At 44.8% G+C, this 13,692-nt stretch overlaps 1 protein-coding gene across 5 annotated transcripts in view, besides 1 other annotated feature; it reads right to left on the reverse strand.

Annotated features, from left to right (window-relative positions):
* FAM117A (family with sequence similarity 117 member A) overlaps positions 1-13,692 on the reverse strand; it is a 78,779-nt gene that overhangs the window by 21,423 nt on the left and 43,664 nt on the right. For 3 of the 5 annotated variants that reach the window (XM_047436858.1, NM_030802.4, NM_001411126.1), the window contains exon 2: positions 797-966. Coding sequence is in view for 3 of the 5 variants with exons in the window: in NM_030802.4 (NP_110429.1) it covers positions 797-966 (170 nt within the window). In the remaining 2 variants the exon portion in view is untranslated. Of the gene's footprint in view, positions 1-796; positions 967-2,578; positions 3,871-13,692 lie in introns of those variants that run through there. The other 2 variants (XM_017025182.2, XM_047436857.1) reach the window with 2 other exon arrangements.
* Positions 8,224-8,313: an enhancer, noted in NCBI's record as "active region_12370". NCBI's record gives its function as "activates an Ori minimal core promoter by ATAC-STARR-seq in GM12878 lymphoblastoid cells {active_cell/tissue: GM12878}" and the evidence as "EXISTENCE:reporter gene assay evidence [ECO:0000049][PMID:35858748]".

The following is a 13,692-nucleotide window of genomic DNA, read 5'->3' on the forward strand; positions in this document are numbered from 1 at the left end:
GTTTAATTTTAGCAAGGTAAATCTCATTTTTTATTTTTTTTATTTTTTTGAGATGGAGTCTTGCTCTGTCACCCAGGATGGAATGCAATGGCGTGATCTCAGCTCACTGCAACCTCTCCCTCCAAGGTTCAAGCGATTCTCCCGCCTCAGCCTCCCAAGTAGCTGGGACTGCAGGCACCCACCACCACGCCCAGCTAATTTTTGTATTTTTAGTAGAGACGGGGTTTCACCATGTTAGCCAGGCTGGTTTCAAACTCTTGACCTCAGGTGATCCGCCTGCCTAGGCCTCCAAAAGTGCTGAGATTATAGGCGTGAGCCACTGCGCCCAGCCTAAATCTCATTTTTTAAAAAGCTAGAATAAACTCTAAAGTCAGCTGTTGATTACCCCGACACAAATACTCAAAGCTAAACTGAAAAACCCAGATTGACTTCTCTCTTCCACCAGGCAGGTGGAATGCAAACTCATTTCCATATAAGTTTACAAAGAAAAACGGTGGTAAATTAGCAGGGCGTGGTAGCAGGCACCTGTAATCCCAGCCACTTGGGAGGATGAGGCACGAGAATCACTTGAACCCGGGAGGCAGAGGTTGCAGTGAGCCAAGATCGCACCACTGCACTCCAGCCTGGGTGACAAAAGGAAACTCTGTCTTAAGAAGATAAAACATTACATGGATAATATGTACGACCAAAACCCAAGACAAATCATCGCAATGACTTGAGGAAGACCAAAGGCCTCCTCAGCCAGCTCTCCCGCCCCATCCTTATCCCTTATCCCATCAGGAGAGAGCTTCATTACCTGGGTGGCCTTGTCATTGGTGCAGCAGGTGAAGGCCCCATCAGCATCTCGTGGCCACTGGCCCAGAAGGTAGGAGCTGAGGATGGTGTCCAGGGAGAATGTACGCCGGACCTGAAGTGGCTGAGGCCTACACACTGACTTTTCTGGGGCCACCGAGCATGGGACGCTGGCTGCAAGAGAACACAGCCCGCACGCCTTGCCATCAGCATGGAGGAAGGAGACGTGGCAATCACCTTCCTCTTCTAAGAGATGTGGCCTGCCTGCCCCGTCTTCACTCATATCCACCACTGTCCTAAAAGAATTTGAAGCAGCCTGAAACAGCACATATGGTCTGACAAGACCTTTCCTGACCTACTCAGCCAGCCTTTATCATGGGAAACAATTTATACCATTTTACTTTGGACTTGGATGTTACTTTATAAATGTCCTCTATCCTTTTCCTGCTCCTAATGGACTATGAACCGTGAACTCCTAGATCTCCACACTGAGTTTCCTGAGAGCAGCACTGTTTCCCATCATTAAAGATAAAACTCTAAGTGGATAAAAAACAAATTTTCTTCCATCTTTTATCTCCTGCCCTTCTTCCTCCCTCCAGCACCTTTGCAGGGCTTAGGCACTGCACAAATTCATCCCCTTAACTGAAGACCTCCTCTTCCTCTTCATACTTCCTTCAGGACTGGTTAGCTCCCCAGGGAACCCCGGTGGCTGACATACTGGAACTACTTTCAATTATCGAGGATTGAGGAATCTAGTTTACGGAAACATCCAAGTTTTTTGGTTCTCTCCTCTGTCTCTGACTTCTGTCTAAATGGGACAAAAATAAAGCAATTATAAATCCATTCATAGGCCGGGTGGTGGTGGCTCATGCTTGTAATCCCAGCACTTTGGGAGGTGGGCAGATCACTTGAGGTCAGGAGTTTGAGACCAGCCTGGCTAACATGGTGAAACCCCATCTCTACTAAAAATACAAAAATTAGCCGGGCGTGGTGGAGGGTGCCTGTAATCCCAGCTACTCAGGAGGCTGAGGCATGAGAATTGGTTGAACCTGGGAGGTGGAGGCTGCAGTGAGCCAAGATCGCACCACTGCACTCCAGCCTGGGTAACAGAGGAAGACTCTGTCTCAAAAAATAAATTAAATAAATAAATCCATTCATTTATTTTTACTTTGGTTAAAGCTTTCTAGAAGGAGGTAAAAGTTGAAACTGTGGATAAAATGTAAGGGTACTGGAATCATTTGGAAGTTGCAATCATCTAAGTTGACCCTGTTTTCCATGGCCACATTCAAAACACTCTACTATCTTAAGATCTATGGCTGGGCGTGGTGGCTCAAGCCTGTAACCCCAGCACTTTGGGAGGTCGAGGCAGGTGGATCATGAGATCAGGAGATTGAGACTATCCTAGCTAACACGGTGAAGCCGCGTCTCTACTAAAAATACAAAAAAATTAGCCAGGCGTGGTGGCAGGCGCCTGTAGTCCCAGCTACTCGGGAGGCTGAGGCAGGAGAATGGTGTGAACCCAGGAGGCAGTGCTTGCAGTGAGTCGAGATCACGCCACTGCTCTCCAGCCTGGACAACAGAGCGAGACTCTGTCTCAAAAAAAAAAAAAAAAAGACCTATAAAGGCTGTTGCATTTAAACAGAACAAAACACTTTCACATCTGTAGTAATCCCTTAATAATTCACATGTATTTAGCACAGCAAAAAGAACTGGGAGCTGTAGGTATAAATAAACCTGAAGAACTTTATATTAAAAAGACACTAGGGCCGGGCGCAGTGGCTCACACCTGTAATCCCAGCACTTTGGGAGGCCGAGGCAGGCGGATCACGAGGTCGGGAGATCGAGACCATCCTGGCTAACACAGTGAAACCCCGTCTCTAAAAACAAAAAAAAAAATTACCCGGGCTTGGTGGCGAGTGCCTGTAGTCCCAGCTACTCGGGAGGCTGAGGCAGGAGAATGGTGTGAACCTGGGAGGCAGACCTTGCAGTGAGCCGAGATAGCGCCACTGCAGTCCAGCCTGGGCGAAAGAGTGAGACTCCATCTCAAAAAATAAATAAATAAAAATAAAAATTAAAAAAAATAAAAAGACACTAAAAGGTTGGCAGTTCCTCAAAAAGTGAAACATAGAATTACCATATGACCCAGCAGTTCCACTCCTAGGTATATACCAACAAAGAACCGAAAGCAGGGACTTGAAGCATTTTTCACAATAGCCAAAAGGTGGGAGCAACCCGAGCATCCACGAATGGAGAAACGGATAAACAAATGCAGCACATCCATACTGTGGAATACTATTCAGTCTTCAAAAGGAAGGCAATTCTGACACACACTCCAATACAGATGATGCTGAGTTAAGTAAGCAAGACAAAAGGACAAATATTCTGTTTTTCTTGAGGTATCTAGAATAGGCAAATTCATAGGGACAAAAAAATAGAATAGACTTTACCAAGGGCTTAGGAGGAGGAGGGGGAGTAGGAGTTATTGTTTAATGGATACACAGTCTCTGTTTGAGATGATGAAATTCAGGTTGTGGAAATGGACCCTGGTTATGGTTGCACAACATTGTAAATGTATGTAATGCCAGTGAACATAAGCTTTTATGGTTAAAATAGTGAGTATATATTTTACTACAATAAAAAAAAGGACACTAACTGACCAATATGGTGAAACCTCATCTACTAAAAATGCAAAAATTAGCCGGGCGTGGTGGTGCACACCTGTAATCCCAGCTACTTGGGAGGCTGAGACAGGAGAATTGCTTGAACCCGGGAAGCGGAGGCTGCAGTGAGGTGAGATCACGCCACTGCACTCCAGCCTGGGCAACACAGCAAGACTCCGTCTCAAAAAAAAAAAGACACTAACAATACTACCTCCACTCTCCAAATTCACTGAAGCATTTACATACATTTTGCCATAGTTGTAATCAGTAGGAAATATGCTATATTATGTTCTGCTTGGTTCCACCTATTTCATATACCTTTTCCCATGTATTAACAATCTACATATTTGTTATTTTAAAAGACTATATAATATTCCTCCAGGTTGATGTACACTAGTTTGCTTAGCCATTCTTGTATTTTTGTCTTTTCTTTTTATTTTTTGAGTCAGGGTCTCACTGTGTTGCCCAGGCTGGTCTTGAACTCCTGGGCTCAAGTGATCTTCCTGCCTTGGCCTCCCAAAGTGCTGGGATTACAGGCATGAGCCACCACACCCGACCCATTCCTATATTTTTGAACATTTGAGGGATTCCTCTCCAATTTGGACATCAAAAATGTTACTATATGGCCAACTTTTACTCTGTGTTTTTATCTAATCCCTGGCATAGTTCTAGATCATTCTCACTCAGCCATCATATATGTGCTTATTTAAAACAAGTGAATAATTTATAACTACAACAGTAGTAAGTGTGAACTGTAGAAAAGTCAGGAAATATATAAATATAAACAAACAGAAAAAAACCCTCAACTCTCAACACCCAGAGATAACCAATGTTATGAGAAATATAAACTTACAGGTCTTACCTCTTCTGTGTGTGTGTATGTGTGTGTGTATATATACGCTTTACAATTTAAAATGGGATTATACTGTACGTATTGTTTTGTTATGTTTTTACCTTATAAACATCTTTCCAAATCAATATATATTGACATAAAACACATCATTTTAAATGATATTAACATTCCTAGGTTAAACCTCTTCAAAGGCTCTCTTTCTTTTTTTTTTTTTTGAGACGGAGTCACGCTTTGTCGCCCAGGCTGGAGTGCAGTGGCACAAGCTCGGCTTACTGCAAGCTCCGCCTCCCAGGTTCACACCATTCTCCTGCCTCAGCCTCCCAAATAACTGGGACTACAGGCACCCACCACCATGCCCGGCTAATTTTTTTGTATTTTTAGTAGAGACAGGGTTTCACCATGGTCTCGATCTCCTGACCTCGTGATCTGCCTGCCTCAGCCTCCCAAAGTGCTGGGATTACATATGTGAGCCACTGCACCCGGCCCAAAGGCCCTCTTTCAAAGACGGAGGTAAAGCCTTCATGTTCTGGTCCCACTTACCTGTCCTTTATACCTCACTCTTCCTTAAGGTCACTAAATCTCAGACAAACTATACTGCATACCATTTCCCACCCATGTCCCAAGCCTTCCCTCCTCTGAGATTTTGCATGGGCCCAGGGTTAAAATCTGTTCATCTGTCAGGGCCAGCTTTACTGCCTCCACTCCACCAAGCCTTCTGCATCCACTGGAATCCCCTGGAAGCAATGTCTTAGAATTTTCTGTTTCCTCAGTACTTTGTACTCTTCTAGTAATGAGCACCTTCTCTTGAGGAATAGGGTATTTGTAACTCCTAGATAATAAACAGCCTGAGGCCAAGGGCAGGCTCTGTGTATCCCCCACAATGTCTAAAGCATAGGGCTGGCAATTGGCAGGCATCTAATATTTGAATAAAATTGAAAAACCTTCACAAGAAGGGTCAACTGGCTCTACTTTTACCAGGGGTTCTGACTTTGCATGTGTGTTCAACACACCCACTTGGAGTAAAGATCCCATAGCTGCTTGTCTTTTTTTCTCTCTCTGAGGCTCAGGAAGGCCCAACCTCTTTCTTACCCTTCCTGCAACCTTGTTGCCTAGTAAGTTGGTGACAGGCACACTGGGTTCAAGGCACAACTTTATCTCTACACCAGCATTTCAAAGACTCATTTTCCTAACCTGGGTTTAAAATCAAAAGATAGCAATCCAGATATTTCTGGGAGCTTCTGACCCACATCAGCAGCCAGCTCAGGCCAAAATGCTGTCCTACGGGCCTCCAAAACTGTCTATTAGAGTCCAGTGACGAGGCAGGGACTCTGGAAAGTGGATTTACAAAATTACATGACAGATAACCAAAGAGGCAGATGGGCCACGGACGAGCAAGTGATTGGCATAAGGGGTAGGATCTCATAATCCTAAAGGCTGCTTCATCACTGTTTCGAAGGAAAAGGAGTAGGACTCCAAGGCTGAGGGATAAGTGACAGGAGAAAGGTTTCCTGGAGCTGCTTCTCCCATGCCCTCATCTGAAGTCCCTGCAAAAATCTCTTTTAGATTCTTTCCTTACTGGGACCCTAAAGCTATCTCGTGTTTACGTTGTGCTTTCAAGTTTTGCCCCATCCCCACAAAGTACTTTGGTGTGCTGTAATCTTTTACTCTCCTGTCAGCTGTAAAAGGGGATAGGGAAAGACTGTTAAGGAAGACTAAGGCACAAAGAAGCTTAGTCTCTGATTAGACTCCTTCACTCTGTAAGTCAGCAGCAGTCCCAGATCTAAATCCAAGCCTCCTTCCTCCTAAATCAGTCTTCCAACTACTCACTGAGGCTCACATCCCTCTTCTATCAGGGACACCCTCTGAGGCTGCTGGGACACCTGCCTAGACACCTGGAGGATGAATTGCTTTTGTATTAATAGCTTCTTTTTAGCACCTAATGGAGGAGATGGCAGGCCCAATCCTATTGTCTCCAATGACCTATTTTTTGTTTTGCTTTTGTTTGTTTCTTGAGGAAGCCTTTGAAACTTGAAGTAAAGGACTCTATTATCTCCTAGGGATAACTTTAACCCATTTTATATTGGTTTCCATCACTCTTCATATCCTACCCTATTCAATGAATCCAATCTCTAGGACAATAATCATAGGTGGTACTTTGCTCCCAGTACTCACAGGGCTGGGGAGCACCCAAATTCCTGGAATGTGATGTGAGAATCCAACCAACGCATTTTGGTAAACTCTACATTCTTTCCGGCTCCCTCTGACCAGTTATCCATTAAGACTCAGGACTCAGTGGGTCCTGACTTGTTCCTCCATATACAAAAAAATGTCACACAAATAGCAGAAAAGAAATAAAAAGGGGAAAAAAGGAGGGAGGGGAAAGGATTGAGGAGAAACCAAGGAACCCCCAATCCAGAATCTGCAGCCCCTGACTCCCTCTCCCCTGGCAGATATGCAAGGATCTTACTACATCTAAATCAAACAGGAGGACTTGCCTCAGTTTCTTTTCCTTAAATGAAGAGACAGCTGGGCCTCAGCCTTATTTCCACAGAGGCCACATCCTGGCACAGGGTGCTGGCACAGCGCCTCACTGGCCATGAGATGACAGAATTACCTTCTGTCTCAGAACCCTTAGCAAGGTCCACTACCCTCCCAACTCTCCAAATTCTTGGCATGTCCCAGCTCTTTTGAGGAGACGAAAATACCATATTTCCTTTAAGCCTAGGAAATAAGGGAGGGGACTTTTTTTAAAAATTAGATTTTAATAGTTTAAAAAAAACTACCACTTATTTCACAAACCTCATCGCAAGTGGTTTGGTAAGCACCTGCTTCTTTGGACATCAAAATTGGTTAAGGGCTAAACCAAGGTGTCAAACTTCCCCCAAATGCAACACAAACCAAAGCCAAAATGAGACAATGACATGTCTCGTGCCACCCTTGAAGGGGCTGCAGGCTGGTGCAGCATGGCCACCCCAGATATCTAGTAGGAGCTAAGAGGTGGGGAGGGTAGGTCTGACTACAGCCAACGCCACCCAGCCTCACTGGGCTGGCTCTCCCTCTGGCCTAAGTTACCTCTGAGGGATGTTATGAAGAGATGCAAATACACTTTAAAGCCTTAGTTAGAAAGATTATGTCAAATCAATTCATGTCCTTTAGGATTGAAGGTGTAGGTGAAGGAGTCCGGAAAGAGGAGACTACCCAAAGACGTGCAGAGTAAGCCCTAGCCCCTCTATCCGTAGGCCTACACTCTCCTGGGCCCCTGGGAAGATGCCCATTTTTAATGTCAAAGCCCTTTCCTTTACTAGTGACAGTCTAACCCAGGAATAAGTGATGCAGGGTAGAATACAAAGCTGCTTGCAGACCGGAGCATCAGCAGCTTCAGGTCAACACTTAAGTTCTGCTGCCCAATGAGATTGACCTCAATAGAGAACGTCCCCTAAGAAATCTTCTAGGTGAGCCTAGTTGAGATAGAGGCTCTTGGGTTTATCCTCCATGGGCATACCGGAAAGATCTGGGCATCGGGTTCTGCCCTGCACTTGTGTGATTATTGTTAAAGGAGAAGCAGCATTGAGAAGTCACAACGGTTGCTTGTGGTTGGAAGATGAACTGGTTTCATTTCTGGAAAGTACCCCTCTCAGATTTAGGAAATAGGGGAGGGAAATACGACAATAGGCTTCCCTATCAGAGAAGAGAAGCCCATATCATGACAGGCCATGACAAAGCAGCAGGCTGTTGGGGCACTGGCTGGGTGGCTGCAGGAGGGTGGAGTGTCCTGTTTACAGCACCGTGGGGTATTATCAGCCCATCACATGCAGCAGCCTCCACAGCCCAACCACCTGGTGAAGCACCCTGGCACCAGGCCAGGCCATTTCACCATGCAGCTGAGCAGTGGCGGATGCTTTGGTTCTTGAGCAACGGCAAATGGAAAAAACAAAACAAAACAGCACACACAGGAGATAAGAAGCCTTAGGTGCTATCTTCCAGAGCCACTTGGTCCTGTCTCACAACTGCTACACTAGGATGGCTTTAGAGAGAGGGAGCTATGAGTGGAGAGGGCCAGCGGTCAAGTATCTGCCTGTTGGGGGAAAGTCAACATGGCAGAAGGCACACAAACGGCAGATAAGACAATGAACCAAGAGCAAAAGATGGGCCTGGCACACTGCAGCAGACTGATGCCTTTGGTAAGCAGATTTTTTTTTTTTTTTTGAGAGGGAGTCTCACTCTGTCCCTCAGGCTGGAGTGCAGTGGCGCGATCTCGGCGCTCATTGCAAGCTCCGCCTCCCGGGTTCACGCCATTCTCCTGCCTCAGCCTCCCGAGTAGCTGGGACTACAGGCGCCCACCACCGCGCCCGGCTAATTTTTTGTATTTTTAGTAGAGACGGGGTTTCACCGTGTTAGCCAGGATGGTCTTGATCTTCTGACCTTGTGATCCGCCCACCTTGTCCTCCCAAAGTGCTGGGATTACAGGCGTGAGCCACTGCACCCAGCCTGGTAAGCAGATTTTGAGCACTCACTACGAGCCATCTGTCTGTGATAAACACTGGAGGAGTAAGACAAGAACCTGCTGATGAGATTGAAGTGAGCAAGGCTGATGCAAATTCTCTCTAAGTGCCAGGCTACCAGGCAAGACCCCCAGGGGATACTCCCCCAGGAAATGCTTTTTCAGAAGGACCACCAATTTGTCTCTGCTATTCCCAATATCCCTTGCTGAAAATCAGCTCAGGCCTGGCCACACCAGCATATCTCCCCAACAGGTACCTAAAGGAGAAGGGTGACAGCTCTTAGAAGAAGGGCAGGAATGGCATTAGAGGAAAGACAGTAGATAATGCAGGAACTGAGGCATTGTGGCTGCTCTTCTCAGCGTGACCAGAGATAGACTGTGGGGTAGAGGCTTAGCACTTTACAAGGGGAAACAAGCCCCTGACCAGTGGGTTCTGGGCATCTAGGGGACGTGCTCCACTTATTTCACTATCTTTGGGGTGATATAGGAGAGAAAAGCCTGTGAAATAAAGACAGGGCTACTCTCCACCCATCGTAGTTATCCCAAAATACCCAAGAAGGACTACAGAAGGAAAATGAGAGAGGCAGCCAACGAGATCTTACACATGGCAAAAACTCAACAACTAGCTGGTTCAACAAACAAGTTATGAGTCATTTTCTCATGGCATCAAGACTTGAAGCATTATTAGCACTAGTCTTCTCATTTCCCCTGTTTTTTGTTTTTATTTTTGATTTTTTGATCTCACCTCTCCCCTTAAAGAGAAAATAACTTATAACAGAAACTATGCACATGTTAGAAGAAGAAAATGCAGATAAACAAAAACTGAAAATGACCAACTATGCATGCCCGCACTCAGAGATCACCACTTTGCTCACCAATCCTGATCTCTCTCCATGCACGAGCCTGCATATGTATTTTTAGTAAAATGAGGTCATATTATACATGCTTTTCTACAACCTGTTTTTTTTCAGTCAGTGATCTTCACTTAAGGAGGAGAAGCAGGCAGGGTCAGAGCAGTGTGGTTAGACACAGGAGGAACAGATCCTGTCCTGTCCTGTCCTAGTTGTGATACAGCATTTCTGTTAGAGGGAAATGTTAATCTGGAGTTAGAAGAGCAAAGTAAAACAGGAATTCAGAATTTCTAAACATTTCCCCAATAACAGGTTTGCAGTAAGCACGGGAAGTTCCTCCTAGCAGCCTCACAGGGATTATTTTTCTATTTCAGCACATTTGTTGGGATTAAACAGGGCAGGCCGTCTTCTGAGCTCCCTGTGGTCCAGTGCTGCTTAACTGCTTAACTAGGGATGGGTGGGTTTTGTGGGGAAGTTGTGGCGAAACTGAAATTTCCAATATGACTGTACAAGAGTTAGAAGCCCTCCTTGGAAAGCCCAAGGAGACCCCATCCATCCCAGCTGAAAAAATTAAATCTGGAGCTGCAAACACTTCTTTAAACAACACTTCTTTCAATAGCTATCCTTAACAGGTAGAAGAAACTAAAGAAACTACATTAGAAAGAAAGAAGAAAAATGATAATATCCCATGTTATCCCTACCAATAAGACTACCCCAAATGAAAAAAGGAGCGACGATATTTGTACACACATGAAAAACTTCTCAGCCAGGCTCTCAATTAATTACTGACTCCATATTTAAGTGTACAGCTTAAGTGAGAGCCACTGAAAGCATTTCTGGCTGTGTGTCCGACTTCCCAAGATGCAGACCATATCTGTAGGCAGCTGGAGAGACAGGCCAAGAGAAACCCTTCTGGAGATGTCATTGTGGGAAAAAAAATAAGGAATACATTGGCTCTTTGTAACAGTAAGGAGAAAAAGGGTGAACCCAAAGTCTATGTGTGTATATAAAAAGAGTAGACAGCAGTTACTTAGACATTTGTTCAATTCTTAAGCTGCAGTTAGAAGAAAAGGAAGTGGTGTGAACTTTTCACCTTTTATCTGAATTCTCTGAAGAGGAGTTCTGCAGGATTTCAACATCCTTAAAACAAAACACTAGCAGTTACTGATTGGAACATACTTTCCTTTGGGATCTACATGGCCTTTGCAAGAATAGCATAAATAGCACATAGCCTAGCCCCTATCTCTAAAAAAAAAAATCCTTACTCCATGGTTATTTGGGAGTGATGGGTTTCTGGAGGGCTGTTTTAAACTCAAAGGACAGGCATAAACCCTTTGAATCTTCACTTCTCACAGGAATCTGATTTCCATCAAGTAGGAAAGAAATCATGAAGCCCAGTCAGCTCTTAGGTAGTGTTTTAAGTAAGGTGAAGGAAAAACAAACATTAGGGAAGTTCAAAGACAAAAAATCCTACAAGAGGACAACCATGATTGAAACTGTACTCTGATTTCTGTTATGGGTATGTGCACCCCCACAAGCTCATGAATTCTCTTATGGAAGAGAGGGCTGAGCTTCCAAGGTGATGCAGGGCCTATGACACACCCCCATGTAGACAGGTGAACTGATTTCTCCAAGGTCATAGAAAAAACTGAGACCTTTTATTACCCAAACAGAAGATTTCTGAAAGTACATTTCCTACCCTGTGTTTTGTTATCAGACTCAACTATGTCATGACCTCCTGGCACCCTTGGTTCAGGAACTACTCCGTGGGTTGGAAGGGTCTATTCCTTTCCCTTGCTAGAAACCAGGATGATCACACCTGGGTCTCAGGAACACTAGTATACCCATTGGGCATGTTGGGTGGGCCAAGGTAGGAAGAGAACAATTTAAAAATCAGGGATTGGCCAGGAGTGGTGGTTCCTACCAGTAAGTCCAGAACTTTGGGAGGCCAAGGCAGGAGAATCACTTGAGTCCAGGAGCTTGAGACCGACCTGGGCAACATAGCGAGACTCCACCTCCAAAAAAAAGAAAAAAAAGGCCAGGCACAGTGGCTCACGCCTGTAATCCCAGCACTCTGGGAGGCTGAGGCGGGCGGATCACGAGGTCAGGAGATGAAGACCATCCTGGCTAACACAGTGAAACCCCGTCTCTACTAAAATACCAAAACATTAGCTGGGCATGGTGGCGGGTGCCTGTAGTCCCAGCTACTTGGGAGGCTGAGGCAGGAGAATGGCATGAACCCGGGAGGTGGAGCTTGCAGTGAGCCGAGATCGTGCCACTGCACTCCAGCCTGGGCAACAGAGTGAGACTCTGTCTCAAAAAAATAAAAAAATAAAAAATAAAAACAAAAAAGAAAAAATGTTTTATTAGCTAGCATGGTGGCACGACATGCCTGTTAGTCCCAGCTACTTGGGAGGCTGAGGTTGAGAGGACTGCTTGAGCCCGAGAGGTTGAGGCTGCAGTGAGCTATGATTGTGCCACTACACTCCAGCCTGGGTGACAGTGAGACCCTGTCTTAAAAAAAAAAAGGTTGGGGGGGGCGTCCCTTTTCCAGTGAGGAAGGTAGAAAGCAAGTGAAAGAAGGAAAAGGAAATCAGAACAGGATTAGAGATAACTTTCGGATAATCAAAATAATTTCTGCTTTATGAACAAACCATGACTTATTTTTGGCTCCATTCAGCTTGCCTTCTCCCTAACTTAAAACAAACTGCCAGACAGCAGCATACAGTCATCACTCGGTATCCATGGGGGATTGGTTTCAGGACCTCCTGCAGATACCAAAAGCTATGGATGCTCAAGTCCCTCATATAAAATAGTGTAGTATTTTCATATGACCTATGCACATCCTCCCGAATACTTTATTATTTGTTTATTTATTTTTCTTTTGATTCAGGTTTTTGCTCTGTTGCCCAGGCTGGAGTACAGTGGCATGATCATAGTTCATTGCAACCTCAAACTCCTGGGCTCAAGTGATTCTCCATCCTTGGCCTTGCAAAGTGCTGGGATTACAGGCATGACCCACCTCAGCCTCCCGGGTAGCTGGGACAACAGGTGAGAACTACTTTGCCTAGCTAATTTCTAAATTTTTTGTAAAGACAGGATCTCCCTATGTTGCCTAGGCTGGTCTTGAACTCCTGGGCTCAAGCGATTCTCCTGCCTTGGCCTCCCAAAGTGCTGGGATTATAGGTGTGAGTCACCTTGCCTGGCCTCCCTGCAATCCCACACTTTCTCTCTAGATTACTTATAATACCTAATATAATGTAAATGCTATATAAATAGTTGTCGTACTGTATTATTTAAGAAATAATGACAAGACAAGAAACCAGGCATGGTGGCTCACACCTGTCATCCCAGCACTTTGGGAGACTGGGGCAGGAGGATCACTTGAGCCCAGGAGTTTGAGACCAGCCTGTGCAATATAAAGAGACCAGATCTCTACAAAAAATTTAAACAATTTTAAAATTTGGTGGTATGTGCCTGTAGGCCCAACTACTCTGGAGGCTGAGGTGTGAAGATTGCTTGAGCCAAGGAAGTCAAAGCTGCAGTGAGCTGTGATCGCATCACTGCACTCCAGCCTGGGAGACAGAGCGAGACTCTGTCTCAAAAAAAAAAAAAAAAAAAACACACACACACACAAGAAAAAATAAGTCTGTACAATTTTTTCCAAGTATTTTTAATACTCAGTTGGTAGAACTCACAGATACAGAACCCACAGATACAGAGGGCTGATGGTATATGTTTTAGCAACTGATACTCAAGTTAAAAACCTACAAACGTTGACAGAATTTGATGGCCCCATTTTGTTGCCTTCCCTCCAGTGATTTCAAAGGCCAAAAGACAATTTTTTGGTTATTCTTCTTTTGAACTGCTCATGTCAACACTCACATCTATTAGTGTTAATTCAGAACTGGCTTTATGCAACTCCCAGAGTAATATCTCTATCAGGAAGAGTTGTCAACAGATGCCAACACCACTGGGCCAAAGGTCATAGGGAACAGAAGATTTATATAATCCCAAAGTATTATCCAGAAACCA

The sequence above is a fragment of the Homo sapiens genome, chromosome 17 (genome assembly GCF_000001405.40).
Source record: "Homo sapiens chromosome 17, GRCh38.p14 Primary Assembly".
NCBI classification, from domain to species: Eukaryota; Metazoa; Chordata; class Mammalia; order Primates; family Hominidae; genus Homo; species Homo sapiens.